Source organism: Homo sapiens, chromosome 15, assembly GCF_000001405.40.
Source record: "Homo sapiens chromosome 15, GRCh38.p14 Primary Assembly".
NCBI classification, from domain to species: Eukaryota; Metazoa; Chordata; class Mammalia; order Primates; family Hominidae; genus Homo; species Homo sapiens.
In genome coordinates this window covers 43,557,656-43,585,412 of record NC_000015.10, presented here as the reverse complement: position 1 = coordinate 43,585,412, position 27,757 = coordinate 43,557,656, and the positions used below count along the sequence as shown (strand labels likewise).

At 45.6% G+C, this 27,757-nt stretch overlaps 1 protein-coding gene across 56 annotated transcripts in view; it reads left to right on the top strand.

The window, feature by feature from the left end:
* The window catches only part of PPIP5K1 (diphosphoinositol pentakisphosphate kinase 1), a 56,779-nt gene that overhangs the window by 4,841 nt on the left and 24,181 nt on the right, over positions 1 to 27,757 (top strand). For 3 of the 56 annotated variants that reach the window (XM_011522249.1, XM_011522250.2, XM_047433378.1), the window contains exons 2-30: positions 521 to 614; positions 881 to 1,055; positions 1,814 to 2,009; positions 2,461 to 2,551; positions 2,764 to 2,849; positions 3,164 to 3,318; positions 3,459 to 3,560; positions 4,025 to 4,186; positions 4,290 to 4,411; positions 6,293 to 6,394; positions 7,257 to 7,343; positions 7,462 to 7,537; positions 7,682 to 7,791; positions 7,878 to 7,960; positions 8,174 to 8,305; positions 8,465 to 8,586; positions 8,860 to 9,042; positions 11,050 to 11,191; positions 11,381 to 11,604; positions 11,929 to 12,056; positions 12,265 to 12,379; positions 12,537 to 12,644; positions 13,573 to 13,689; positions 13,837 to 14,001; positions 16,078 to 16,227; positions 16,860 to 16,950; positions 20,421 to 20,546; positions 21,248 to 21,310; positions 26,481 to 26,618. In XM_011522249.1, the coding sequence (XP_011520551.1) occupies positions 909 to 1,055; positions 1,814 to 2,009; positions 2,461 to 2,551; positions 2,764 to 2,849; positions 3,164 to 3,318; positions 3,459 to 3,560; positions 4,025 to 4,186; positions 4,290 to 4,411; positions 6,293 to 6,394; positions 7,257 to 7,343; positions 7,462 to 7,537; positions 7,682 to 7,791; positions 7,878 to 7,960; positions 8,174 to 8,305; positions 8,465 to 8,586; positions 8,860 to 9,042; positions 11,050 to 11,191; positions 11,381 to 11,604; positions 11,929 to 12,056; positions 12,265 to 12,379; positions 12,537 to 12,644; positions 13,573 to 13,689; positions 13,837 to 14,001; positions 16,078 to 16,227; positions 16,860 to 16,950; positions 20,421 to 20,546; positions 21,248 to 21,310; positions 26,481 to 26,618 (3,523 nt within the window). In that variant the 5' untranslated portion in view covers positions 521 to 614; positions 881 to 908. Of the gene's footprint in view, positions 1 to 520; positions 615 to 791; positions 1,056 to 1,813; positions 2,010 to 2,460; positions 2,552 to 2,763; positions 2,850 to 3,163; positions 3,319 to 3,458; positions 3,561 to 3,983; positions 4,187 to 4,289; positions 4,412 to 6,292; positions 6,395 to 7,256; positions 7,344 to 7,461; positions 7,538 to 7,681; positions 7,792 to 7,877; positions 7,961 to 8,173; positions 8,306 to 8,464; positions 8,587 to 8,859; positions 9,043 to 9,575; positions 11,192 to 11,380; positions 11,605 to 11,928; positions 12,057 to 12,252; positions 12,380 to 12,536; positions 12,645 to 13,572; positions 13,690 to 13,836; positions 14,002 to 16,077; positions 16,228 to 16,859; positions 16,951 to 20,420; positions 20,547 to 21,247; positions 21,311 to 24,817; positions 25,001 to 26,480; positions 26,619 to 27,757 lie in introns of those variants that run through there. The other 53 variants (XM_006720786.3, NM_001190214.2, XM_047433388.1 and 50 more) reach the window with 47 other exon arrangements.

The window sequence follows — 27,757 nt, the reverse complement described above, 5'->3', positions numbered from 1 at the left end:
TGAGAGAGGGTCTCACTCTGTCACCCAGGCTGGAGTGCAATGGCGTGATCTCAGCTCACTGCAACGTCTGCATCCTGGGCTCAAATGATCCTCTTGCCTCAGCCTCCCAAGTAGTTGGGACTACAGGCATGCACCACCATGCCTGCCTAATTTTTGAATGTTTTTGTAGAAACTGGGTTTTGACATGTTGCCTGGCTGGTCTTGAACTCCTGGACTCAAGTGATCCACCCTCCTCAGCCTCCCAAAGCGCCGAGATTATAGGTGTAAGCCAGTGTGCCTGGCCTTAATGTTCTGATATAATGCTTAGAATGTAGGGTGCCCTCAATAAATATTTTTTGAGTTAATCTTTGGGAAGAATGAAGAAGAGGTTTAAGGGGAAAGGCAGCTGAGCTCTCTCATTCCTCTGCCTTTGAATTAAATTACTGAATTCAACACTACTGTGAGGAGGTGGAAAAGGGCTAGGAACATTGTGAAATGAGTCCAAAGTTTGAAATGTCACTCTAACCTTCTCTTCTGGTAGGACTCAAGAGTAGCCTTCCTCGAGGACCTGCCTTTCCCATTTGCTGCCTGAAGTTAATGTTTCTTGCTGGCCAAATCAGGGACATGCCGGCATTGTAAGGGCTGATTATCTGATCCTCTTACTAATTTATTGGTTGGGGTGGGGTGAGCAGGGAGGAAAAGGGATACCTTGCTTTTCTTTTATGGCTCTTTTAGCATCTCAAGTCATAGCCCATATGCCTCCTTTCTTGTTGATCCTTCTTCCTATAGCTTTGTTTTGTTTCCCCTTATAGTTCCCTCTTATGCTTTTCATCTCCATCCCCAGCCCCACCCACAGCCAGGGGGCTTGGGTTCTGAGCTGATGGGGTACCCCCCTCTGCAGAGCGGGATGAGTGGGTGTTCCGGCAGGGATGTGGTCATTGACGGCCAGTGAGGGCGAGAGTACCACGGCCCACTTCTTCCTTGGAGCTGGAGATGAGGGGCTGGGCACCCGTGGAATAGGCATGAGGCCAGAAGAGAGTGACAGCGAGCTCCTTGAGGATGAGGAGGATGAAGTGGTAAGAATGGGGAAAATGATGTAACTTGGGGTTGGAGCCTCTGTCCTAAAGAGTTAAGATTCTATTGGTTAGAGATACCTCTCTGTTCTTTCCGAATGCATAGACTCCCTGTCATAAACAGGCCCTATCCTAGTTTAGGGGAGGGGCAGTAGAGATTGGTAGGTTGCCTCTCTTAGAAATCCCTGCCCTGGCCGGGCGTGGGTAATCCCAGCACTTTGGAAGGCCAAGGCGGCCAGATCATTTGAGGTCAGGAATTCAAAAGCAGCCTGTCCAACATGGTGAAACCCTGTCTCTACTAAAAATACAAAAATTAGCTGGGTGTGGTGGTGGGCGCCTGTAATCCCAGCTACTCGGGAGGTCTAGGCAGGAGAATCGCTTGAGCCCGGGAGTTGGAGGTTGCAGTGAGCAGAAATCGTGCCACTGCATGCCAGCCTGGGCGACAGAGTGAGACTCTATCTCCAAAAAAAAAAAAAAAGAAACCCCTGCCCTTAGGATCTTCCTGTCGTCTCATGGTTGTTGGTTCTCTAGCTCTCCTGCTTGAGCACATATTTCCTACTGTGGAAAGGCTCCTATTCTGTAGGCAGTTGGAATCCCTAGCTGTGCCTCAACCTCGATCAAAGTTAGGAGGCACCCTTTATCCCATAGGTCCAGAGTCCTGGCAAGAAACTCTGTGCCCTAAGAAGATAAGACAGTGTTCCCAGAAGGGGGTGATATTGGTGGGAAGTTCTTGAGTTTCTGATAGCACTTCCTCTCTGTAGCCTCCTGAACCTCAGATCATTGTTGGCATCTGTGCCATGACCAAGAAATCCAAGTCCAAGCCAATGACTCAAATCCTAGAGCGACTCTGCAGATTTGACTACCTGACTGTTGTCATTCTGGGAGAAGATGTAATCCTTAATGAACCTGTGGAAAACTGGCCATCCTGCCACTGCCTCATCTCTTTCCACTCCAAAGGTTGGGGTCTATGAAGGAAAATGGGAGGGAATGGTGGTGGGAATACTGGTTCGGGAAATGAGGTTCTTATTGTCTTATTTCCTTAGTAAAGAGCCGTCAGCTACTTGTGACACACTAGAGAATGGTGCCAAGGAGTTTGCTTTCCCTGCATCTTGGAGGAGTTGCCGGGGGTTTAAAGCCTATAGTCTAACCTCAGGACAACTCTAAGTGTCTTAGGATCTCTGACAGAATTGGGTCTCTGGAAGGACTGTAAAAATAACTTCTGTTTTACTTTTTCTTGATAAATATCCTAGACTTGGGGAGCTGGGAAGAAGAATAAGTGATGGGTTGAATGGGTAGAGGAGCTCAGTGGCAGCTAATAGCTTTAATATGTCTTTGTATCTCTCTTGCTCTTTTCTCGTTCTCTTTCTCTCCCTTCCTTTGGTCTCTTTATTTCCTGTCTCCATCCCAGGCTTTCCTCTGGACAAAGCTGTTGCTTACTCCAAGCTTCGAAACCCCTTTCTTATCAATGATCTGGCCATGCAGTATTACATCCAAGATAGGTATAACTTCCTGTTGACCAGTGAGATGGGTGGCTTTGGGATCATGCGTGTTCGGGGAACCCACTGTGAGAGGGGCAGAGTCAAACCAACATGCCTAATTTTTGTACCATAATTTTGTGCCCTGGTGTCTTTTAATCCTGTGCAAATGAAATCCCCAGCCTCTCCCCTTAGTTACTCCCACCTCTCCCAGCTATTTTATTTGGGGGTGACAGGAGGGAGGTGTACCGGATCCTGCAGGAAGAGGGTATTGATCTGCCTCGATATGCTGTGCTCAACCGTGATCCTGCCCGGCCTGAGGGTGAGTACCTGGCCTGAGGGAGGGTTAGTCCTGCCTTTCCTTGCTTTCTATGACTTAGCCACGTTTCCATCTTCTAGACATCTCCTGTATACCACCTATCTATGTGGGGTTTTGGTTATTGGATTATGGGTGGGGTTAGAGCCATGAGTCTTCGGACAGAGGGTTGGACCTGTTATATAGAGATTTTACCTCATCTATTACAAAGATATAGTCATAAAAATTTGAGGGTTATAGAGATGAAAACCTGGGGAAATGAGAATTAGTAATATTCCACAACCTTAGGCCATAGGAATGACTACACATCCACCTTTCAGAATGCAACCTGATAGAAGGTGAAGACCAAGTAGAGGTCAATGGAGCTGTCTTTCCCAAGCCCTTTGTGGAGAAGCCAGTGAGTGCAGAAGACCACAATGTTTACATCTACTACCCCAGCTCAGCTGGAGGAGGAAGCCAGCGTCTCTTTCGTAAGGTAGGGGGGATATTTGAGCATCTGGGGAGTCAGAGAGGTGCAAGGGCAAGGATGAGGTTGTGGGGAAGGAAGATGGAGAATTTGGGGACAGAACAGAGAGTTGAGGCAACATTGCTTTTTCTTCTTTTTTTCTCTTGAAGATTGGCAGCCGAAGCAGTGTTTACTCTCCTGAGAGCAGCGTCCGAAAGACGGGGTCGTACATCTATGAGGAGTTTATGCCAACAGATGGCACAGATGTCAAGGTTATGGTGGATATAGGGATTTAAGAGGTTACAAATGTGTGGGTGGGGATGGGGTACTTGGGAAGCAGGTGGAAGTATATGGGGAGGAGGTCCTAGAAAATAACATGATGTGAATGTGATTGGCTTTCATATTCAGGTGAAGATAATGAGTGGAGGATACAGACATTCACATTTTCACTATCAGAGCAAGGGCAAGGCTGACTTAGAAAAATGGTATAATGTTTGTAAATTATTTTTTAATAAGGACTACCTGACAGTAGTGGAGTCCCGAGGAGAAATTCATAATGATACTTCAGTAAGGCTCAGTAGGAAAAATGTTGGTCAGTCTCCTTAATGCTCAGGATTTGTTTTGTTTTTGTTGTTGTTGTTTTACTCTGAAACTCGTCTACAGACCTAGTGCTCATATTGTCTTCTCATATACAGGGTGAGCTGTGGGCATACTCAGTGATGCTATGTACCTGCAGGTGTATACAGTGGGGCCAGATTATGCCCATGCTGAAGCTAGAAAATCTCCAGCTTTGGATGGGAAGGTTGAACGAGACAGTGAGGGGAAAGAGATTCGATATCCAGTCATGCTGACTGCCATGGAAAAGCTGGTGGCCAGGAAAGTCTGCGTAGCTTTCAAGGTAGAGGAGGGCCCAGGGAGGTTGTGAAATGAAGGAGAAAGGAAGGAACAGGGGTCCGGGAAGAGTAACTGTCTTGTTCTCATCTTTCTTCTTTTCCTTGCAGCAAACAGTTTGTGGATTTGACCTTCTTCGTGCCAATGGTCATTCCTTTGTGTGTGATGTCAATGGCTTTAGTTTTGTCAAGAACTCGATGAAATACTACGATGACTGTGCCAAGATTCTGGGGTAAGAGACATAGTGGTCTGCGCTGGGGAGAATGGGCTTACAGAAGAATATTTGAAAGTTTTTGCTTTATTTTAAATATCACAAATATGATTTAAAAGTGAAAAAGCAGGCCAGGCGCGATGGCTCATGCCTATAAACTCAGCACTTTGAGAGGCTGAGGCGGGTGGGTCACCTGAGGTCAGGAGTTAGAGACCAGCCTGGTCAACATGGTGAAACCCTGTTTCTACTAAAGATACAACCTTAGCCAGGCATGGTGGAGCATGCCTGTAATCCCAGCTACTAGGGAGGCTGCGGCAGGAGAATCGCTTGAACGCAGGAGGTGAAGGTTGCAGTGAGCTGAGATAGTGCCATTGCACTCCAGCCTGGGTGACAAGAGCAAAACTGCGTCCCAATAAATAAATAAATTAATTAATTAATTAAATTAAAAAATAAAAATAAGAAAGGAAGGGCTCCTCAGGCTCCTTGCCTTTCTAACACTGCCCCTCCCAGAGACCATTGTTGTTAACAGTTTTAGACATAACAATTTATCTTTTTCTGCCATATCCAAACTGTATTTCTTTTACTAAATGTGGTCATACTATAATACTGCTCTGCAACTTGACTTTCCAAGAAATTCGTCACGTAATGTATAAACCATTCAGAAATATATGAGGAATGATGACTATAGTGAGCATCTATGTATTCACCACCTAGCTTAAGAAATAAAATATTAGGAATATAGGTCGGGTGCGGTAGCTCACGCCTGTAATCCTGGCACTTTGGGAGGCCGAGGCGGGTAGATCACCTGAGGTCAGGAGTTTGAGACCAGCCTGACCAACATGGTGAAACCTCGTTTCTACTACAAATACAAAAAATTGGCCAGGCTCAGTGGCTTCCGCCTGTAATCCCAGCACTTTGGGAGGCCAGGGTGCGTGGATCACCTGAGGTCAGGACTTCGAGACCAGCCTGGCCAACATGGTGAAACCCCATCTCTACTAAAAATACAAAAAAAAAATGAGCCAGGCATATTGGTGGACGCCTGTAATCCCAGCTACTTGGGAGGCTGAGACAGGAGAATCACTTGAACCCGGGAGGAAGAGATTGCAGTGAGCCGAGATCATGCCGCTGTACTCCAGCCTGGGTGACAAGAGTGAGACTCCATCTCAAAAAAAAAAACCCAAAAAAAAAAAAAATTAGTCAGCCGTGGTGGTGGTTCCCTATAATCTCAGCTGCTTGGGAGGCTGAGGCAGTAGAATCACTTGATCCCAGGAGGTGGAGGTTGCAGTGAGCTGAGATCATGCCATTGTACTCCAGCCTGGGCAACAAGAGTGAAACTCTATCTCAAAAAAAAAAAAAAAAAAAAAAAAAATATATATATATATATATATATACACACACACACACACACACACACACACACACACGTACACATATATGTATATATGTGTATATATGTACGTATATATGTATATATACACATACATATGTGCATCTATATACACATATGTGCATCTATATACACATATGTGTGTATCTATATGCGCATACATGTGTGTATATACACAAACTGTACACATACGTGTGTGTATGTACACATACGTGTGTGTGTGTGTGTGTGTGTGTGTGTGTGTGTGTGTGTATATAATCGAAGCCCCTATGTACTCCTCCCTAGTAACATCCCCTCCCCATCCCCAGAGGGAACCACAATCCATAATTTGGTGTTTGTCATTCCTTGTATTTATTTATATTTGTACTACATAAATATGGGTATTTGTTTGTATGTTTTTAGACTTTATATTAAGGTATTCTTCTGCCTGCAGCCTGCTTGTTTTTGTGAGCTTCATTCCTCTGAGTAGTTCTGGTTTATTCATTTTTACAGGGCTTCTTTGTTTCTCTTTCTAGGAACACCATAATGCGGGAGCTTGCCCCACAGTTCCAGATTCCATGGTCCATCCCCACGGAGGCTGAGGACATTCCCATTGTTCCCACCACATCTGGCACTATGTAAGCAAAAGCAAAAAATCTGGAGTAACCTACTTAAGACCCATGGGATTCCTTAAGCCAGGCTAATGGTTACTTCCTGACCCCACACTATCTGACTAACGGAGCCTAGGCCTCTTATACACAGTCTTCTTAACTCCACTTATATTCCCCCGCCGTTTTTTTTGTTTTGTTGTGTTTGTTTTTGAGACAGAGTCTAGCTCTGTTGCCCAGGCTGGAGTGCAGTGGCATGATCTCGGCCCACAGCAACCTCCACCTCCTGGGTTCAGGTGAGCACATCTGGCTAATTTTTGTGTTTTTAGTAGAGATGGGGTTTCATCATGTGACCAGGCTGATCTTGAACTCCTGACGTCAAGTGATCCACCCGCCTCGGCCTTCCAACGAGCTGGGATTACAGGCATGAGCCACCATGCCCAGCCTCCATTTATATTCCTAATCTCAGTTCCCTTTTCTTTTTCTTTCTTTTTTTTTTTTTTTTTTTTTTTTGCGACAGGATCTGGCTCTGTCTCCCAGGCTGGAGTGCAGTGGTGCACTCATGGTTCACTGCAGCCTCTATCTCCTGGGCTCAAGTGATGCTCCCACCTCAGCCTCCCAAATAGCTGGGACCACAGGCGTGTGGCACCATGCCTGGATAATTTTTTTTCTTTTAACTTTTTTTATAGAGACAGACTCACCCTATGTTGCTCATGCTCACCCTATGTTTCTCCTGGGCCTGAGTGATCCTCCCACCTCAGCCTCCCAAAGTGCTGAGATCACAGGCCTGAGCCCTGCTCAGCCCCTCTGTTTTTTTGACATGTCAAGTAATGTGATGACAGCAGGTGGGATGGGGGTGTGGGAGAGGCTCTGATAACATTTATGATCTTAGGATGGAACTTCGTTGTGTCATTGCAATTATTCGTCATGGGGATCGTACTCCCAAGCAGAAGATGAAGATGGAAGTGAAACACCCAAGGTCAGAAGAGTGTCCTAATTTACATAAATAGGTTTTTGTGAGGAAGACTGCATGGGGGGCAAGTCCTGGAGGCTTTGACTGTCTCATGCCACACTGAAGCTTCTCGTTACTTCTTCAGGTTTTTTGCTCTGTTTGAAAAACATGGTGGCTACAAGACAGGGAAATTAAAACTCAAGCGACCTGAGCAGCTCCAGGTAAGGTAGTGAATCTGACCAGGAGGAACAGTGCCATGAGAGAGATAGAGGATATGGCATTGGGAGTCTTGATAAAAGACTAGGATGGAAAGGTAACTGTCTAGGACTTGGCCTTCTGCATGGATACCTTATTATTTCCTCTAGGAGGTGCTGGATATCACAAGGCTGTTGTTGGCTGAACTGGAGAAAGAACCAGGTGGTGAGATCGAGGAGAAGACTGGAAAACTAGAGCAGCTGAAGTCTGTACTGGAGATGTGAGAAAGGGGATAGCAAAAGGGAGCCAATAACAGTGAGAATTGGGGTGCTGGAACAGAACATAAACTGTGACTTTATCCTGCAGGTATGGTCACTTCTCAGGTATAAACCGGAAGGTACAATTGACTTACTACCCTCATGGAGTAAAAGCTTCTAATGAGGGGCAAGGTAAGATGTAGTCCCCCTTACCACTACCTCTCAGATCTTGTGTTCTTTTTATGTTTTTTGTCCATCTTCTTTCCCCACAAGATCTCTTTTTCTTGAGCCTATAGATGACCTTTACCCCAAATTACATCTCTGGTCTCCTCAGAAGACCTAAGGTTTAGATGTTCCCACTATTTTTCTTAGATCTAGACCATTCACTGCCTCTTATTCCTTCAGATCCACAGAGGGAAACTCTGGCCCCATCTCTGTTGCTGGTACTGAAGTGGGGTGGAGAACTGACTCCTGCTGGCCGTGTTCAGGCTGAGGAGCTGGGGCGAGCTTTTCGCTGCATGTACCCTGGAGGACAGGGTGAGTGTTTTGGGGAGTGAACGCATAGCAGGGCCAGGATAAAATGATTAGAGAGTAAGTTGGGGAAAATGAAGGGACAGAGACAGTGGGGGAATGAATATTTTTTCTTCCACGAGTATTTATAGCAGTCCATTTGTGGTCCCCCACCTTTGTCCCCAGGTGACTATGCTGGCTTCCCTGGTTGTGGGCTGCTTCGTCTCCATAGCACTTTCCGCCACGATCTCAAGATCTATGCCTCTGATGAGGGTCGTGTTCAGATGACTGCTGCTGCCTTCGCCAAGGTGCATACTACAGTTCTGTAGTCCCAGTTTCCATTAGGTAGAGAAGCAGAGAGTTTGGAGAACCAGTTGGAGCATTTCAGGGTGCTTGTAGGCCAACTCAGAGAAGTTTCTGCATGTATCGGACCCATTCTGTACTACCGAGAATGAGCTGAGAATAATTAGTGAGGGTAGGCCCCATCTCTTCAACCAGCTCCCGTTCGATCCCTGGGACCATCTAGGCCTAGGGATGCTAACCTGCAAGGGAAACAAATAGACCTTGTGCTTTCTCTTTAGGGCCTTCTGGCTCTAGAAGGGGAGCTGACACCCATTTTGGTGCAAATGGTGAAGAGTGCCAACATGAATGGGCTACTGGACAGCGATGGGGATTCCTTGAGCAGCTGCCAGCACCGGGTGAAGGCTCGGCTGCACCATATTCTACAGCAGGATGCGCCCTTTGGCCCTGAGGACTACGATCAGGTCAGGCTCAAAAATAGCCTGGATCCCCAATTCCTAGAATTCTAAATAGTAGGGATCAATAATAACAGTATTTACTGCATGCCAGGCACTGTTTTAGTTATTTTACACATATATTATTTAATCCTTACAGCAACCCTTTGAGATAAGTACAGGTCCACAATCTCTTATGCATAATTTTGAAAATTAAAAAGATTTTTTTCTTGACATTGAGATTCATTTGGCAGCTAAACCTGACACGAACTGTCATAAGACTTTTATAATCCTTAGTTTTCCCACTTAGTGTAAATAGTCGTGCATTTTGTGGCAGAAATATTAATGTGTTTGGTTATGCCATGGGCCCTGATGGAGGTATTATATACATATGGCATATGTACTGTATTAACTTCTAAAGTCCCACAGATTCTCAGTTCCAAAGCACAGCTCTGATCCCAAGGATCCTGAACAAAAGAACGTTTCAGTTATCCATTGTTGCATAATAAACTACCCCAAAACGTAGTAACCTAAAACAGCAACCATTTTATTATCTCTCACAGTTCTGGGCTCATCTGATCTTGCTTGGAGTCTCTCCTGAAATTGCAGTCAGATATTGACTGGAGCTGGAACCATCTGGAAGTTCAGCTGGGACTGTGGGATGGCTGGCTCTCTCCCTCTTCATGCTCTCCCTGTAACCTCAGTGCCTCTTTTCTCCACATGGTTCTTCATATGGTTTCCGTAGCATGATAGCCAGAAGTATTAAATGGTAGCTTTAGGGATATTCAAAAGCAGAAGCTTAGAAGCTTTCTTAAAGTGTAGGCCCAGAAATAGCACAACATAACTTTGTTATTTTTTATTGGTTAAACAGTTACAGGGCCAGCCAGATTTAAGGGAAGGGAAGGAAAGGAAGACAAAGAATTGATGGTCATCTTTAAAGCACTACAAGGACTGTAGACCACAAGGACTTTCCTCCCATTTTACAGATGAGGAAACCTAGGCTCAGAAGAATCTAAGCAATTTTCCTCATGTCATCCAGCTAATACAAACCGAAGGGGTCTAACTCCAACGCCCAGGCTGTTACATTGCTTTATAGTATTAATCCCACTATATGCCATTACCCAATATGGTCGTTCTTTTTCCTGCATATCTAGGCCACAAATGACCAGGCAGTGGTTTTCTACTCTTCCCACTCCTCATTTCTGATATGTTCTTTTAAAAAAATGTTTAAAACTTTAAAATTGTGGTACCATTTTAACCATTTTTAAGTTTACAGTTCAGTAGCATTACATGTATTTACATTGTTGTGTAACATTTCTGATTGGTTCTTAAATGAGTTAAGTAGCTAAGCACATTGCTGTGAGCCCATAGGATTTTCTGTGTTCTCTGAGTAGGACTTGATAAGGAACAGGACCTTGCTCCTTTATTTCCCAATCCATTGCTCACTGTCAAACTCAAAAAAGCTAAGGCAGCTTTCCTTTCTGCCTTGCCTTCTTTTGCGAGCAAGAATGAAACTTGTGAGGACCTAAACAGAATTGTGCATTTTCAGCCACAGTCTTGATTCTGCCTCCACATTTCTCATTGACTGTTACTGTCCTACAAGCCTGAGTCAGAACCCAGTTTTGAGGCAGCATTTCTACTCTAGGCTCAGGCTAGCATCTTGTTTAGAGGAAGAAGATAATGTTATCTGTGATCTCTACTCATGAAAACATTCTGTGGAGATTTTGAGGGATTTTGGTTCAATCTTTATTCTCCAGTATTTTCCATGTGTATTCTAGAGCCCTCAAGAAAAGAACTTAGGTCTGTTTTATTTTCTCTGGACTCTTAAAATCAATCCCTCTTAGACGACTATATGCTAGAGCAGTGCCCTTACCTGAAGGCCTAGAACTGCTAGTATGCCCAGTAACCTAAGAATGCTCACTGGAGTGAACCAACATACAGAGCTGTATTGTGAGTAGTCTCTGTGTAATAAACTCACAGGAATCTGGGCAATTAGTGCCGAGCCTGTCTTGCTTTTCTTCTCTCTATTCTTCATAGCTGGCTCCCACCAGAAGTACTTCCCTGCTCAACTCCATGACTATCATCCAGAATCCTGTGAAGGTCTGTGATCAGGTATTTGCCCTGATCGAAAACCTCACCCACCAGATCCGGGAACGAATGCAGGACCCCAGGTCTGTAGGTGGGTATGAATACTACTATCTTCCCTTCAAGGTCTCAGGTATGGATGGGTTTCTCAGGCATTCTGGTGTCCTCTCCTAAATGTCAGAGACCAGGCCTCCTCCTCCCTCTGGCTGTACTTCAGAGTTGTCAGGGTCTTTTGTTGGAGGTAAAATCTTTGATTCTTATCTGATTCCTGCCTTTCTTCCAGACCTGCAGCTCTACCACAGTGAGACACTAGAGCTAATGCTACAGCGTTGGAGCAAGCTGGAGCGTGACTTTCGACAGAAGAGTGGGCGCTATGATATCAGTAAGATCCCTGACATCTATGACTGTGTCAAGTATGATGTGCAGCACAATGGGAGTCTGGGACTTCAAGGCACAGCAGAGTTGCTCCGTCTCTCTAAGGCACTGGCTGATGTGGTCATTCCCCAGGTGTGTCTTGTATAAGGGACCTAGCCTGGGGATGAGGGTGTTGGGAAGGAAAGAGAGAAAAGGTGGAAAGGAAGGGTGATTTGAGACTAGAGGAAAGCAACTCAGAGAAGGAATAGGTTGAGTTGCTACATTTCTCAGGGTCCACTCTGGCTCTTGGTAAGTACAGGAGGCTAATTCAGGAGACACCTGGAAGAGGGGGAATGTAGTGGATATGAAAGAAGCCCTAGACGTGAGGTGAAGACAGGCATGATCTTGGTCCTGGGAATATGAGGCATGAGAAAACAAGATTTATTGAGGTATTTATTCCTGGCCTGTGGCCCCTAGGAGTACGGGATCAGTCGGGAGGAGAAACTGGAAATTGCTGTGGGCTTCTGTCTTCCACTGTTGCGGAAGATACTACTTGACCTGCAGAGAACCCACGAGGATGAGTCTGTCAACAAGCTGCATCCCCTGTGAGGGAGGGCTGGGAGGGGTGTTGGATGGAGGGAGGGGCATGTCAGGGAGCCTTGGGGGAATCAAAGCTGGGACAGCCTGGGGAACCAAGAATAGACAAGATTTTGGGATGGAAAGGAGAGAAGTCTTTGAGGTGGGAGGAGGGAGTTTGCAGAAGGGTGGGAACAGGGTTAACTGACTGTGTGAGTGATTTAGCTGTTATCTCAGGTACTCCCGAGGCGTGCTCTCCCCAGGTCGCCACGTTCGAACGCGTCTCTATTTCACCAGTGAGAGCCATGTCCACTCCCTGCTCAGTGTCTTCCGTTATGGAGGACTTCTTGATGTAAGGATCCTCCTTCTTCTTTAGCCTGTGAACAGCTTTTTCCCAGCATTCTTTTACTCTTCTCAAATGAAAGCTTTCTCCATTCTCATTGGCTCCCTGCTCATTCTCTGACTCCCATTTCCTTAAGCAATGGCTTACCTCTTTTTGCATTTGGTAGGAGACCCAGGATGCACAATGGCAGCGAGCTTTGGATTATCTTAGTGCCATCTCAGAGCTTAACTACATGACCCAGATTGTCATCATGCTTTATGAGGACAACACACAGGTGAGGAGCTAGCAGGTGGGAGATGAGAGGAAGGCCCCTTCTTTTGAATTCTATTAAAAAAAAAAAACTTGCTTATCCTTATAATTTGGAGAATCCAGCTAGGTGTGGCACTTACGCACAGCATGACACAGAGCATCCAGGAGGTTCCTACTGGAATGGAAAATATGTTCTGGGATGTTGTTGAGCCAGAGAGGTAACCTAGAACACAGCTCTGGCATTAGAAGAGTATGGAATTTGGGACAATGTTATGAGTCTTATTTCCTCAAACATGGTTATACATATACCTTCTGCATACGGCTCCACAATGATACTTTTTTTTTTTTTTTTTTTTTTTTGAGACAAGGTCTCACTCTGTCACCCGCGCTGGAGTGCAGTGCTACAATCTGAGCTCACTGCAGCCTTGCAACCTCTGCCTCCTGGGCTCAAGTGATCCTCTCACATCAGCCTCCCAAGTAGCTGGGATGACAGACATGTGCCACCATGCCCGGCTAATTTTTTGTAGAGATAGGGTCTCAACATGTTGCCCAGGGTGGTGTCAAACTCCTGGACTCAAGTGATCTGCCTGTCCCAGCCTCCCAAGGTGCTAGGATTACAGGTGTGAGCCACTGCTCCTGGCCCACAAGGTATCTTTAAATGTTCTGCTATATGCACCACAGCCAAGCTGAGTTATTGTGGAAGGTGATGGGAAGCGTTGTAAAGCTGGAAGTTCAGAAGTCATGTGCAATGGTGAAATCACAAATGGTAGAGATGAGGGAATGAGGATCCTGTAAGAGACAATATATAGTTGAAAGGAAGCTATAACAGGTCAGCCCCGGAGTGGGACAAGACCCTGAATTCCTGGGAGGATGAATCCCCTTGAGTTCCTCTCTACTTCCACCACAATATCCAGCTTCTCCCAACTTCCCCCTCTTGTGGTTATGCTCCATAGGATCCCTTATCAGAGGAACGGTTCCATGTGGAGCTACACTTCAGCCCCGGAGTGAAAGGTGTTGAGGAAGAAGGCAGTGCCCCGGCTGGCTGTGGATTCCGTCCAGCCTCTTCTGAGGTGGGTCAGAGTGCTGGGATTTGGGACTGAAGGACTTAGGAACCAAGTGGTGGGAAGCAGTACAGGGAGAAGTAAAAGGGCTAGGTAGTCTGGGATTAGGATTTTGGAGGCCATTAACACCTCTCTTATCTGCCTTTTGTTGTATAGAATGAGGAGATGAAAACCAACCAAGGCAGTATGGAGAACCTGTGTCCAGGAAAGGCATCAGATGAACCAGACCGGGCATTGCAGACTTCACCCCAGCCTCCTGAGGGCCCTGGCCTTCCGAGGAGATCACCCCTCATTCGTAACCGAAAAGCTGGTTCCATGGAGGTAATGAGAGGGCCTTGGGAAGAAATGAAGGGGTGGCAGTGCTCATAGGACTATATCCACAGATCCACTAGATCCCCTTGGGGGGTCTCTTGGGACTTGAAGCAGAGTCCTCCTGCTCTGATTGATATGTTTTACTTAATCTCTCTTTCACAGCTGGTCTCCCAGTAGTGCTTCTTTAACTGGTTGCTACTTCTCAGATTAAAGAGTTGCCATTGAGGGATGCCTGAGAGATAAGGGTTTAAAGAGATAAGATTAAGGAGGAGGCCTCTGGATGAATTTGAAAAGGTAGTTCTTTAAAAGGAAATCTAGTGGAAACAGCTTGAACTCCGGGCCAAAATCCCAGTGTAATACTTGGAAGCTGTGTGACTTTGGCTGGGTAACTTCTCTACATTTCTCTGACCTTAACTTCTCTAAGCCTCAATTTTTTTTCACCTCTAAAATGTGAGTAGTATCCACTTTATAGATGCTCAACAAGCAGTAATATATTAACAATGCAATTGATATTAAAGGTCCAGCCCTCTCCAGCTCTTGGTCACCTTGGGTAAAAATTATAGCTCAGATAGGAGCAAATACCTGGCACTTTATCTGTACTGTCATTCCAGAAAGTGGGTCAGTCAAGAGCTCTGTCTGTCTTCCTCTTGTTCTAATGAGGATCTTTATCAGCATGGGCCTATATTCTGCTGTTCTTGGAGGTTGTTTCTAGTTCTGGTTCTAGCTCTCTAGCCTAAAGGCAGTAAGTGTTATTAATCTCATATTGTGTCCAGCTAACCATCTGAGGTTTTTGTTTTGGTCTTTTTCCTGGAAAAACTGTTTCTGTCTTTGGCCTAATTATATCCTTTTTTTTTTTCCCCTATCTTGCTCTTTCTGTATCACTTACATTCATTTTGACACCACAATTTATCCCTGTCTCAGAGACTTTGACTGTCTGATTTAGATTCTGCTCTGTCCTAATGACCGTGTTCACCCTGGCTCGGTGCCAGGTCTCTATCTTAGAGGAATTGGTTTTTCCATTTTAGGGATATATCAGAAGAATCTATAACAAGCTGACCTAGGTTCAGCAAAAGTTTTGCAATTCAGATTTTGGAGAAAGCTGAGAAGATGAACTGCAGTCTCTTCTTTTGATTCATCCTTTACTTCCTGATTATTTTAAGGTGAAATTGCCATTGGTAATATGCAGAGTTTCTTTAGGTAGGATATACATTATTTTCTCTTTGAGGTGTAGGTGTCGGTTGGTATCCGTAGTACTCTATTACCCTTTATACTCACATCCAATAGATCACATGGATAGAATGATACATAATCTTCCATCAATAAACTGATCCTCCAAATGTCTTTCCTATTCACATGGTCTGCTAGTCTCTCCTGGTGCTGTTGTGCCTGAACCGCGTCCCCCATCCCCCAACCATTTTTTTCTGGTTTATGCAGTCATAAGACATAGACAGCTGCGTGTGGTGGATCACACCTGTAATCCCAACACTTTGGGAAGCCTAAGTGGGAGAATCATTTGAGGCCAGGAGTTCAAAACCAGCCTGGGCAACATGGCAAGATCCTGTCTCTACAAAAAATTTTAAAACATTATAAGATGGAAAAAAAAAAAAGGCACAGGTAAAGGAAAGCTCTGTGTATCATCTCTCAGACTTGATAAGATTGACTTCTTTCAGGCCTATGGGAAGCTTCCTATTGTAATCACAGGCTTTCTTTTCAATTACTAGTGCTGCTTAGACCCTGGCTTATCCAGGGTGATGGTTGTCCAGGATATTTTCCTCAGCTTTGCAAGAAAATCATCTCTCTGCTCCTTGGTCACAAAGCCTTATGATACTAATGTTAATGTTTATCTTCCTTGCTCTATAAATATAGGCATACAACTTATCCTTCCCTCCATCCCTTCTTCTCCTCTTGTCATCTCATACTTTTTAACTATTTTAGATTATAAAACTTACGACCTTTATAGCAGCTATGCCCTAGCTGGTCATCCTCTCTAGCCCTGTAACTAGCTCTGCCCTGTGGGCCCTGGGGCTTTTGGGAGCCTGGGGTTTAAAGGAGCCGTGACCGGCTTTCCACCCGGTCTGATTGCAGGTCATGAACATGCAGTGCACGGGGAACCTGGACCTCATCCCCTTGCGGGGACGGCGCTGCAGGAGGTCGGGAGACCTCCCCCAGCCTTCCCTAGCCATTGGCCTACAGCCCCGGGCTGTGTCCACCACTCACCTGGCATCCTGCACACAGGTGTCCCTCCCTACCTCACCTTCCTGTCTTGCCTTCTGTCTTTGCCTTTTGGGATCTAGGGGCTCAGACACTATCTGGGTGGGATGTGTGTGTTTTGGGGGTTGTGTGATTGGGCCCTTGTGGGCATTGTAAAAATTCTGTTTCATGTTTCTAGGGGTGAGACAGTGGAGGGGTGGGCTTCTTGGTTCTAACAAGGAATGTAGTATGGTTGCAGTAGCCACAGCTCTCCCATGCAAAGAAGAGAGGGTGGCCAGACTCTTATCTGTGGCTGAGCCATTGTGATTGGCTTTCTGAGTCTGTGGGGGGATAGATACAATTAGGAAACTCTGCTCTGCTGAGAACTAGGAATGGGTTGAATAATGATTTCTCAAACTCAGATTGGGAATGGGAGGGCTGTGGGGAAAGGCATCTTGAAAATAGAAGTGCCTTCTAGTATAGAAAGATGCCCCGGACAGTTCCCTCCATAAAGTACATTCTCTGTTCCCTTTTCATCCCTCTTCCCCTATAAATCCTTTGGTACTTCCAAACTTTCTAACATTGCTTGGCTTTGTAGGGACAGGAATCCAGGACCTGAGTTTTATACTTTGGGGTTGAGGTGGCAAAATGATTAATATAGAGTCCTTTTTCTGCAGGTACTTTCTGAGACTTCATCCTCGAGGCCTGGTGGCTACCGGCTCTTTTCATCTTCACGGCCACCCACAGAAATGAAGCAGAGTGGCCTAGGTATGGTTTTGCCAGCATTTCTCACCTATTGTTGGAAAAGTTGTCTGTCTGTTCTTCAGAGTTTTATTGTGGGAAACCTTTGTCATGGGATTTGGGACCGTCCAATCAGTGGAATATCATCAGGTGGAGGTAGGGAGGATGAAGTGGGAGAAGCCATAGTTAGATGTGAACTTGGATCTCAGATGATTATTCCATCCCAGGAAGGTGTTTATCTCTTGGTTTTCTATACCAACCACATTTCCCTGGCCAAAGGGCGTTTTTCTGGCTTTCCCTCTCATTCCTTATCTGTCCCTCCAGTCTAGCCCAGACCTTAAGGGGCCATGGAGACTCTGAACCTTCAGAGTTATCAAAGACAGAGCTATAAATAGAGGTACTTGCAACCCTCATAAATGTCGTATTCCTCATTTGAAGAAATGTGCCACGTCTTCCCCTGAAACCTGTGTTTTTCACATCCCCGCTCTTGCCCTTCTTACCACCTTGCCCTTTCCTCCATCATCTCCTAATCCTGTAACTTTTTCCCCTTCCTTCTGGAAAATTGACCAGTCTGAGACTGGTGTAGTGGCAGAGGCATCTCTCAGGACTTTGAGGAAATGTCTCTTGATTTTTGGATCCCTGGAAAGGGGTAGAGAACATCACTCAGCTTTTTCTAAGAGCACAGACGGCAGGAAGGACCAAGCCTCAGAGGGTATTGTATTCTTTGGGTGGGGGGCAGTCCTTGGGAGGAACTATCTCTGAGCACAGTGCCTTGTGAGCCAGTAATTAGAACTGGAGGTCAGACATGGTTGTGTGGGGTCTGGTCTTGGTCCTCTGGCTGTTTCTGTCTTGTCCTATTATTCTCTCTATTTAGCGCCTCTAATTGTTCTGTTGCCTTTGTCCTTGGCAGCCATTTTCTTGGCCCCAAAATGGTCAGCTTTTGGACTAGCAAGGGGGAGAAAGGTTTTGGTAACTTTCCAGGCTAATTTTATGAGAATAAGTTGCCTTCTAGATTCCTGAAATGAGGAAGATGGTATGGGGCATGAGAAATAAATGACAAGTGTGTAGATCTGGCCAGGCGCAGTGGCTCATGCCTATAATCCCAGCATTTTGGGAGGCCAAAGAAGGCAGATCACTTGAGGTCAGGAGTTCTGAGACTAGCCTGGCCAACATAGTGAAACCCCATCTCTACTAAAAATACAAAAATTAGCTGAGCATGGTGACGCATGCCTGTAATCCCAGCTACTTGGGAGGTTGAGACACGAGAATTGCTTGAACCCAGAAGATGGAGGTTGCAGTGAGCTGAGACTGTGCCACTGTACTCCAACCTGGGTGACAGAGTGACACTCTGTCTCAAAAAAAAAAAAAAAACCCGAAACAACAATAGTGTAGATCTAAGAAATGAACCTCTCTTCCCAGAAGTCCCAGTAAAGAATAGGTTTCAGACAGACTAGAAAAGAGGATAGGTGTGTCTGTCCCAGTTAAGTGGGCCGTGGGAATGCTTTCAAGAGCAAGGCAGAGGTATGGACATGGAACTGGTTGGCAGATGGTGGTGGTAAGGTAGAGACCACCCTCTGAGATGATCTGAGGACTGGGCAGAACAGAGTTGGCATGACTGCACCAGAAAAGTATTCAGTGGAGGAAGTGTATGTAGGACAAAGCTTGGGGTGGTCTGGGATAGAGCCAGCTAGTTTTAGCTTCTCTGAAGAAAAGCAGTCATATTTAGCAACTGTTATTACTCTCTGGAATCTCATTCCAGAGCCTGTTTGAACATGAAAGGTGGAGGAAGTTGCTGTATAGGGGAGAGGTCCTGAATTCCAGGGTGGGAATCATCAGGCATCTGAACTTCCTGATTGCTCTGGTGACCCCGAAATCCTGGGACCCCTGAAACCATGGTCCCTTCTTGGTGGCCTCAAGGGAATTGAACTCCTTTCCACTCCATCCATTTCCCCTATGAATGTTAAGTCCCAAGCCAAACCCAGGGTCTTGGCTAAGATGGATTTGGAAGTAGAGAGGCAAATCCTGAGAACTTGGGTATCAGTCTTGTTTCTTCTTGACCACTCTGTCCTTATAGGCTATAGTAGGAGAAGGGACCGTGGAGTCCTAACCCTCCTCTAGATCAGCTGTTGGGGACAGTGACTGGTCTGATTTATTTCATACTTCAGAGATTATTCAGATTTTATTTAATCCTCTCATTGGCAATGGAATTCTCTTTGTTTTCTTAGAATTTATATGTGTGGGCAACTGGCTTTGAGCATAGGCTTACATGATAATACACTTTTGCAAGCAGAACAAACATGTCTTTTTGTTGTTATTTCCTGTATTCCTTCTTAGTAGGGTGCTCCTCACATAATAGGCATGCTCTACATATAATCAACTGATTCTTCACATGCCCTTCAATTTGTGTCCATCTTGACTTTAGAAACTGCTGGTTCCTAAAAAAAAATAGTTATTTATTTTCTAACAATACAGTTGGTCCTCAGAGTCAGGAGACCTGGATTCTAGTCCAGCTTAGCTTCTAAAAAACTATGTGACCTTGAGCAAAGGAGGTCCCTTTTGGATCTCAGTTTCTTCATCTCTAAAATAAGAAAGTTGGACTGGATGATCTATGAGTCCCTTCTAGCTTAAAAAATTCAATGAGGCAGGGGGCTGTGGCTCACACCAATAATCCCAGCACTATGGGAGGCCAAGGTGGGAGGATCACTTGAGCTCAGGAGTTAGAGACCAACCTGGGCAACATAGTGAGACCTCATTTCTACTAAAAATAAAAAAATTGTCCAGGCATGATGGTGTGTACTTGCAATCCCAGCTACTTGGGAAGCTAAGATGGGAGGATCACTTGAGCTTGGGAGACCAAGGCTGCAGTGAGCTATGATTGTGCCACTGCACTGCAGCCTGGGCAACAGAGTGAGACCCTGTCTTAAAAAAAAAAAAAAATTGTGAGCCTCATACTTTCATTCTTGGGAAAGGTCAAAAGGCCTGAAGGGAGGGGATGTTGGATGAAAAACTTAGGAAGGATTGGAAGGGTGCCAGCTGAGTGTTCAGAATATAGTCTCTAGCTTCAGTCAAAGCCTTTTCCTTTCAAATATACAAGGACTAGATTTCTGGGTTTCTCAAGCTATATATCCAGGGTAAGGGGTGCCGAATTAAATCTGAGGGGAATCTAGAGGGACCTACCTGTTATTTTGGCATTTCTGAGAGCCACCTGAAGAGCACAGTCTATCCCTTCCAGTAGCTTTGAATCCCCTAATATGACTAACCCTGCATTTGTAGTGGCCTGTTGTTTCTGCCATGTAGCTCTTCAGAAGAATCCCCCTTTTGCTTGCCCACTGTGACTATGGAGAAGTGTAAAGCCATTTGTGGTTATGTGGAATGGCCACATGGTGGTGGCTCTGAATGGCTGCATGTGTGTCTTGATGTTATCATGTGAAGTTGTGTATAGTTCTGTGTGATAGTTGTGGCTTTACGTGGCTACTAACGCACTCCCGGCCTTGCAGGCTCACAGTGCACAGGGCTGTTCAGCACCACAGTGCTGGGTGGCTCCTCCAGTGCCCCGAATCTTCAGGACTACGCCCGCAGCCATGGCAAAAAGCTACCACCTGCCAGTCTGAAGCACCGAGATGGTATGTGGGTGGGTTTTGGGGGATAACTCCTTTTTTCACTTGTCTCTCAGCAAGGACATAGCTCAAGAACTATTCATGCTTAAGATGACACTGGCCTTATAACAAGTTTTCTTCATCAGTAATAGATGGGAGAAGGAACCAGGACCCCTTTCACCCCTCCATTTGCATTTCCTCTTGCCATAAAAATACTACTTATTTATGCTTATCCCTTCATAATCTCCCACATACAGTCCTGCTGCATCAGTTTGTACTCTTTCCTGGATTCTGGCCTGTAGGGGTAAGGACCAAGGAGGATGATGCATAGTTGGGAAGAAAGTGGTGGAACCTCGATTAAAATCCAGCAAATTGGGTTTAGGGAAGGGAATGTTACTCAACCAAGGGAGAAAAGATAATGTGGAAAGAGACTAGGGGAAGGGATGAATATTTCTGTGAAGATTTTATTTCCAAATGACCAGAAAGAAGACACAGTGGTAAAATTAGGGTTGTTTGTAGGGGTGTATTGTGGTAGAGATGACACATTGATTCCTAAGAGATTTATCAAAGGAAAAGAGATTGACGTGTGTTAGTTAGAAATCCAAGGGATGGGGAGGGGAGCAGGTCAGATAACTAACTTTAAAGAACAGAATATCTTGCGGGCAAACTCCAGAGCAGAGGGTGGGGACAAGGGTGGGTATAATCCCCATGATGTCTTTTCTCCCCAGAGCTCTTGTTTGTCCCGGCCGTAAAACGATTTTCTGTGTCGTTTGCAAAGCATCCGACTAACGGTACGTTTGCTTCTGACTCAATGTCATTCCTCCTCACCATGTCACCTCTAGACACTTAACTCTGAGTTTCGACACTGACTTTGCCTCTCCTTCCACTGTGTTGACACCCTGCTGTCTCTGAATGAGTCACTCACTAAGTGTCCCTCCTGGGATGGTTTCCTTGTGACAGCCTTAGTCTTGGCTGCAGCCTGGCTGCCCCATCCCTGCAACTCAGGGTCTTAATTCCATAGTCACCATCATCACCATTATGTCACTTTTGTCAGCATCACCACCAAAACACTGATTAAACCTCTCCCTTTCCTATCACATGACTGCCAGGCTGTGTACAGATATGATGGTTCCCCTTCTTAGGATGGGAATAGTGTTTCCTAGATTGATTCCATTTCTTCTCTTCCCCCATACCCCCAATTCCTCAGCTGATATAACTTTGATCTTTCTGTGTTTTCTCCAACTCTTGTTGGGGTGGATGTGGATGACTAGTTTGTTCCTCTTTCGGAGCAATGCTGCAGTTCCCAGCTCCTAAGCCTACTTATATGGGTGTTAGTCTTGAGTATATAGTTTCCCATCTCCGTATTTCTTTCTCCTGTCATTATGTGTATTTTGTGTGGCTCTTGTGCTCCTGACATTTGCTTTATGTTACTACTAACCTATTGCCTGGGCCTAGAAAACAAGAGCCCAGGTTGCTTTGGGATAAAAATAAAAAGAAAGGAGTAGGAGGTAGTAGGTAAAAGAAAAAGGACTGTACCTTGAGTTTTTAAGTGTAGTTTCCATGTGGCACCAGCCTACCTATGATAAAGCTATTGCAGAGAAGTTTGAAGAGTGGAGATGTCTGCTGGGGATTCTGGGGGAGCTTAGGAAGGAATAATATTTTAAGAACATTGAAGAACTGGGTCTGCCCACACTAAGGTGGGAGAGCTTGGAGATCTCTGTAAACCATAAATTGAAGGGTATGGTCTCTTTGTAGGGTATAGCAGGAGAACCCAGGCTCACTCTCTTTCAAAGTTTTATCCTTGGTATCCTTATTTGTCTCTCTGTATTATATTTTGTCTTCAGGGTAAATCTAGGTTTTTTAGGTATGGTTTTCTTCTATTCAAGAGCTAAGACTCTCTGAGGGAAGTAAAACTAGGCTGGCTTCCTGACTAGAAAACCTCTACGTGCTAATCTCCTATTGGCTAGCAAGTGACAGCTGCTAGATTTTAGCCCAGTCAGGTTGTACATCTTCACAAGGCACTGCTGAAATCTCTCCCTAGGTTGACCAGCCTATGCTGGCTCAGTTTATCCCTGCCCCCAGGCTCCCAATTGTGCCTGTGGCAGGAGTTCCCGTTCAGAGCCTCATGGGTGTGCCGGCTCATTTAGCTTCAAGCTCTTCTGGCCTTCATGTGCCACAGCCATCTCCAGAATAGAACCTGATGCATGAATAGCATAGCCTGGGACTTGGACTTAGGGTCCACAATATAGTACAAGGAACGTGGGCTCCTGAAATCAGAGCTAAATCACGTATCTCCTAGTTCTTAAGTGCCATGAGAAAAGACCCAAGTCCATTAAACAGACCCTCAGACGTATGTACCTCCAATTCCCCGAAGTACTGTTCAGCAGCCTCACCCGTTGAAGAAGATTTAATTCTGCTAAAAGGAGTTGAGGAAAAAAGAGCTGGAAAATGCAGGTGTTGTGCAGGAAAACAAATTTAAGATCTCCAATGCCCTGCACACTTCCTCAGGGGCCTTGTGGCCTCCTTTGTTTTTCTTGTGCTGGAGCTTGGAGGCTAACATGCTTAAGAAGCCAGAATCTGGGCTCTACCTGTTGACAATAGGAGAAATTTGGAGCTGTATGTCACTTGCTGAGGAAGATTATCTAGATTCAATTTGACCCTCAAGAAATATGAAGGCTCTTCTCCATGGCCAAGATCTTGCTTGACTGACCAGCAATTACAAAGTGGATGTTTTGTCTGTAGTTGCAGGTAAGTCACAGCAGCTCCGTCATCACCATCTCCTTGCCATGATATCTGGCTTTGAAACAGCAGCTGGAAATACTGGACCTGGCTTTGGAAAAGAGGCAAGGCAGTGTGTCTTCACACTTTGATGGGAGAGCAGCCCTCAGCCTTTCTCTGCCTTTGTTCCTAATAAGCTGCTCTTATATCCTGTAACTATATCCAGCACACAAGTATAGCCTGTTACTAAGCTGCACACTGAATTCACCAAAGTAAATTAATAAAGTGGGAAAGACTGTGGCTCACGCTCATCCAGAATGTCAGGGTGTGACCACTGGATTTGTCAAGCCCGTTATCTTCTAGGGACCCATATAACTATGTGACCATTGGTATATACAGTTAGTGCTCACAAGACTAGCCTAGGTAGAGCTGAAATCTGTCCTGACATCCAAGCTAAGGTCTCTGAAGACCACAGTCTCATGGGATCACCTTGTGGAGCCAGTTCTGGTCTGGGAGTTTTGAGCAGTCATCCTGAGCTGCCTTGTTTCTACCTTCTCTATACCAACATCCTGTACTCAAGTTCTTGTCCATCCTCACATCATGTCTTAAGATCCCATATCTTTTCTCTAAGATCTTTTCACTATTGTTCCTCTTACACCCCTCTCCACATGGCTTTGACTGCCTTCAACCTTTTGTAGCTGAATTACATCATCCACAAAGTTTGCCAAGTAGCTAAAATGAGGGGTTCAGAATCAAAGCTTTTCCACTCACCAGCTGAAAAAAGTGCAGTTAGACTCACCAGCAGTGGGAAGAAAATATAAAATTATCTAACTTTCAGCTTGTGTAATGGATACAGTATCTCTAAGTCCGGAGTTTTAGTGTACTTTTTTTTTTTAACTGATTGTTTAAACAACAGTAAGGTACAGGATGGTTAGTCAATATTGGTATTTTCACATACTGATTCCATTTTCCACACATACCGTTTTAAAGGAGTTCTACACCTGGTTTCCTGCCAGTCTCCTGTGCCAACTGCCTAATACCATTCCTGTCTTCAGCTATCTTAGAGTGTGGTCCAGAAGGCCTGCCCTAAAAGAGAGCCTTTTTAGCTTGACTGTCTTGATACACAATACCATCACTTTTTCATTTTTATCCCTACTACATAAATCCATTCACCTGAGAATGCAGGCCCTAAGTAGGGTTCATCCAATGATGAGGGATCCTGAAGCTGCAGTCAAGACTCCCAGCCGCAAAACTGCCAGCTCACCCCTGTTCACAATGATGTGACTGATGTCTACAAGCACTGACGGAATTATGCTCAAGGAGCAAGGGGAAGGCATTGCTGTATGATGAGATCTCACTTATCCCTTCTTTCAGACTCATTGTATGATGACACCACTGTTCTTCCCTGCAAGAGATGCCCAGTGGCTCTGACCATCTCTGCTTCTCTCTTAGCTCACCTTGGATCTGAGTGCCCCCACCTCCCAGTAATGCTTGTGCTAGTCAGTGCCCCCCTCATTGTCTCTCCCTCTTCTCTTTCTCTATCTTTGTGCTTCCTGCCGTGGTCCCCTCACCCCGTCCAGAGCTGCTGGATGACCAGCACCCTGTGGTCCGGTTGCTGCGCAGTTTTTCCTCTGACTGTACAGGGGGCCGGCCAGTCTCCTTGGATGCCACGCTGGCGCATCACCTGCACCAGTGCTCCTACCACCTGCGCCTCTTCCGGAACTGGCTGCGCTCAGGCCAGGATGACCCCGAGTGCCTCTACGGTACCCCCTGCCACCAAACTGGCTGCTGCCACTACCCTGGCTGGGTCTGACTGCTTTGCTTATTGCACTTCTGGCAGGAGAGCCCACCTATTTCTTTCTCCTATTTGCCCTAAGTTTATGTAACTTGCATTTAGTCACTTGGATGGGATTGGGGCCAGACTGCCTGGTAGCTGTAGCATTGGCTGCTCATCCCCTTCCTATTCTCCTTTCTCACCACCCCCTAATGTTACTCATTCCCCAGTTCTGTTCAATACAGGAGTAATCTCTTGCCTTGGAATCTGTTCTTATCACTCTAACCCTCTACTACCACCATCTTCAAATCCAAATGTTTTTCTAGCCACTCTGAGGAGCTAGAGACAGTAACTTTCCTGCCCTCCTGCCACTAGATCATGGGAGAAATTGAGGCACAGAAGCCTCAATTGTATCCTTGGGGCAAAGTCCAGAGCTTCGAAGATGGTCAGGCTATAATCCTTTTGAGTTACGGGCTTTAGTCACTGGTGAACAGGAAGCTGTCTTGCATAGACTTCGTTGTCCCGTGTATCCTTAGTCCCTTTAAGGAGATGTTGAAGAGGCATAGGAAAGACTGGGGACTGAGATAGTGGTTTGGATGTGTTTTTCTTCATCCTCCAATGGGGACATTTTTTCCATCACCAGTCCCTAGTATTAGGGTTACATATTTATGTTTATCCTTGACCCTACCCAGACTGATAGACCTACATTGGAATTCTTGGGTTTAGAGCAGAGAATCAGTACTTTTTCTTTTTTCTAGGGCATTTGCCTCATTTTTCTGATGAAGTAGAAAGACCCTAGCAAGTCTGGGGTTTTCCAGTAGATCAGAAGAGTGAAGCTTTGATGTGATGGAAATTACCAAGAAAGAACTCCCATCCCCATCCTGTTCATGCATGTGGTTTTCCTGGGCTGAGCTTCATGTGTATTGCATGCCCTCCAGTTTGCATCCAAGTATTCTAGCCTTTCTGCCGACATCCTAAATTTGCATGAACCCCTTCTCAGATTCCATGTCCTTCTCCTTAATCTGGTTCTCTTATTCATGATACCCAAAATCTGCTGTTTCTTCCCAGCTCCCTGACCTCCCTATCTCATGTTAGATCTGCAGTTTCACCCCTTACCTCTGGATCCTTGTTTTATTCCCCTAGAAAGTGTGAGAACAACGTTGGTGCCTACCCTACTGGGATTCTGTTTATTTTTCCATGAGACATTGCAAGCTCTCCATAGGTAGCATGAAAGGTGATTTGATTCACCTTGAGGCCTTAGCAGGTAGATGTTTTAGGAAATCTGAAGGTGAGAAAAACAGACTCCCTAGGGGCTCTAAAGAGTTCCCTCTCCTAAGAGTCTTGGATACCCAACACTCCAAAAGCCACGGACTCTCCTGATGGCTCTCAGGGACTCTCCATGCTTCCTTGGCCAGTTGGGGTATATCTGGCAGGAGTAACATTGACTTTGCCCATCTCTTTTCAAACAGGGTTTGAAGGGTGTTCCATGGTGCCTACCATCTACCCTCTGGAAACACTGCATAATGCCCTTTCCCTACGTCAAGTGAGTGAATTCTTGAGTAGAGTCTGCCAGCGCCACACTGATGCCCAGGCACAGGCATCTGCAGGTAGGGATATTCTTATTTTTTTACCCTTCTCTCTGCCCCCATGCCCATGCTTCCTAGAATATAAGAAAGTAGTAAATTAGAAAGCTAGTTAGGCAATCCACAAAGACACAAAAGTACACTTAAAAATGTATAATTGCTGGCTGGGCGCAGTGGTTCATGTCTGTTATCCCAGCACTTTGGGAGGCCGAGGCAGGTGGATCACCTGAGGTCAGGAGTTTGAGACAAGCCTGGCCAAGATGGCGATACCTGTCTCTACTGAAAAAAAATAAGGCCGGGCGCAGTGGCTCATGCCTGTAATCCCAGCACTTTGGGAGGGCTAGGCGGGTGGATCACGAGGTCAAGTGATGGAGACCATCCTGGCCAATATGGTGAAACCCTGCCTCTACTAAAAATACCAAAATTAGCTGGGTGCGGTGGTGTGCGCCTGCAGTCCCAGCTACCCAGGAGGCTGAGGCAGGAGAATCGCTTGAACCTGGGAGGCAGAGGTTGCAGGGAGCCGAGATCACACCACTACACTCCGGCCTGGCAACAGAGTGAGACTCCATCTCAAAAAAAAAAAAAAATACAAACATTAGCTGAGCATGTTGGTGTGTGCCTGTAGTCCCAGCTGCTTGGGAGGCTAGGAGAACTGCTTGAGCCCAGGAGGCGGAGATTGCTATGAGCCAAGATCGCACCACTGCACTCCAGCCTGGGTGACAGAGCGAGACTCCATCTCAAAAAAAAAAAAAAGGATAATTGCATAGGCCAACTAAACATCATAGAAATATCACTCCTGAATTCTAAAGTTTTCATTGAAAAATACACAACCAAGAACAGTGAAGAATGAGTGGGGTGCAGTGGCTCACATATGTAATCCCAGCAACTCTAGAGGCTGAGGCAGGAGGATTGTTGAGTCCAGGAGTTCAAGACTAGCCTGTGCAACATAGTGAGACCCCCATCTCTCCAGAAAAAAAAAAAAAAAAAAAGGCTATGCATGGTGGTGTGTGCCTGTAGTCTCATCTACTTGGGATGTTGAAACGGGAGGATCACTTGAACCCAGGAGTTCAAGGCTGCAGTGAGCTATGATCACGCCACTGCGCTCCAGCCTGGGTGGACAGAGCAAGATGTTACCACAAAAGAGAGAGAGAGAGAGAGAGAAA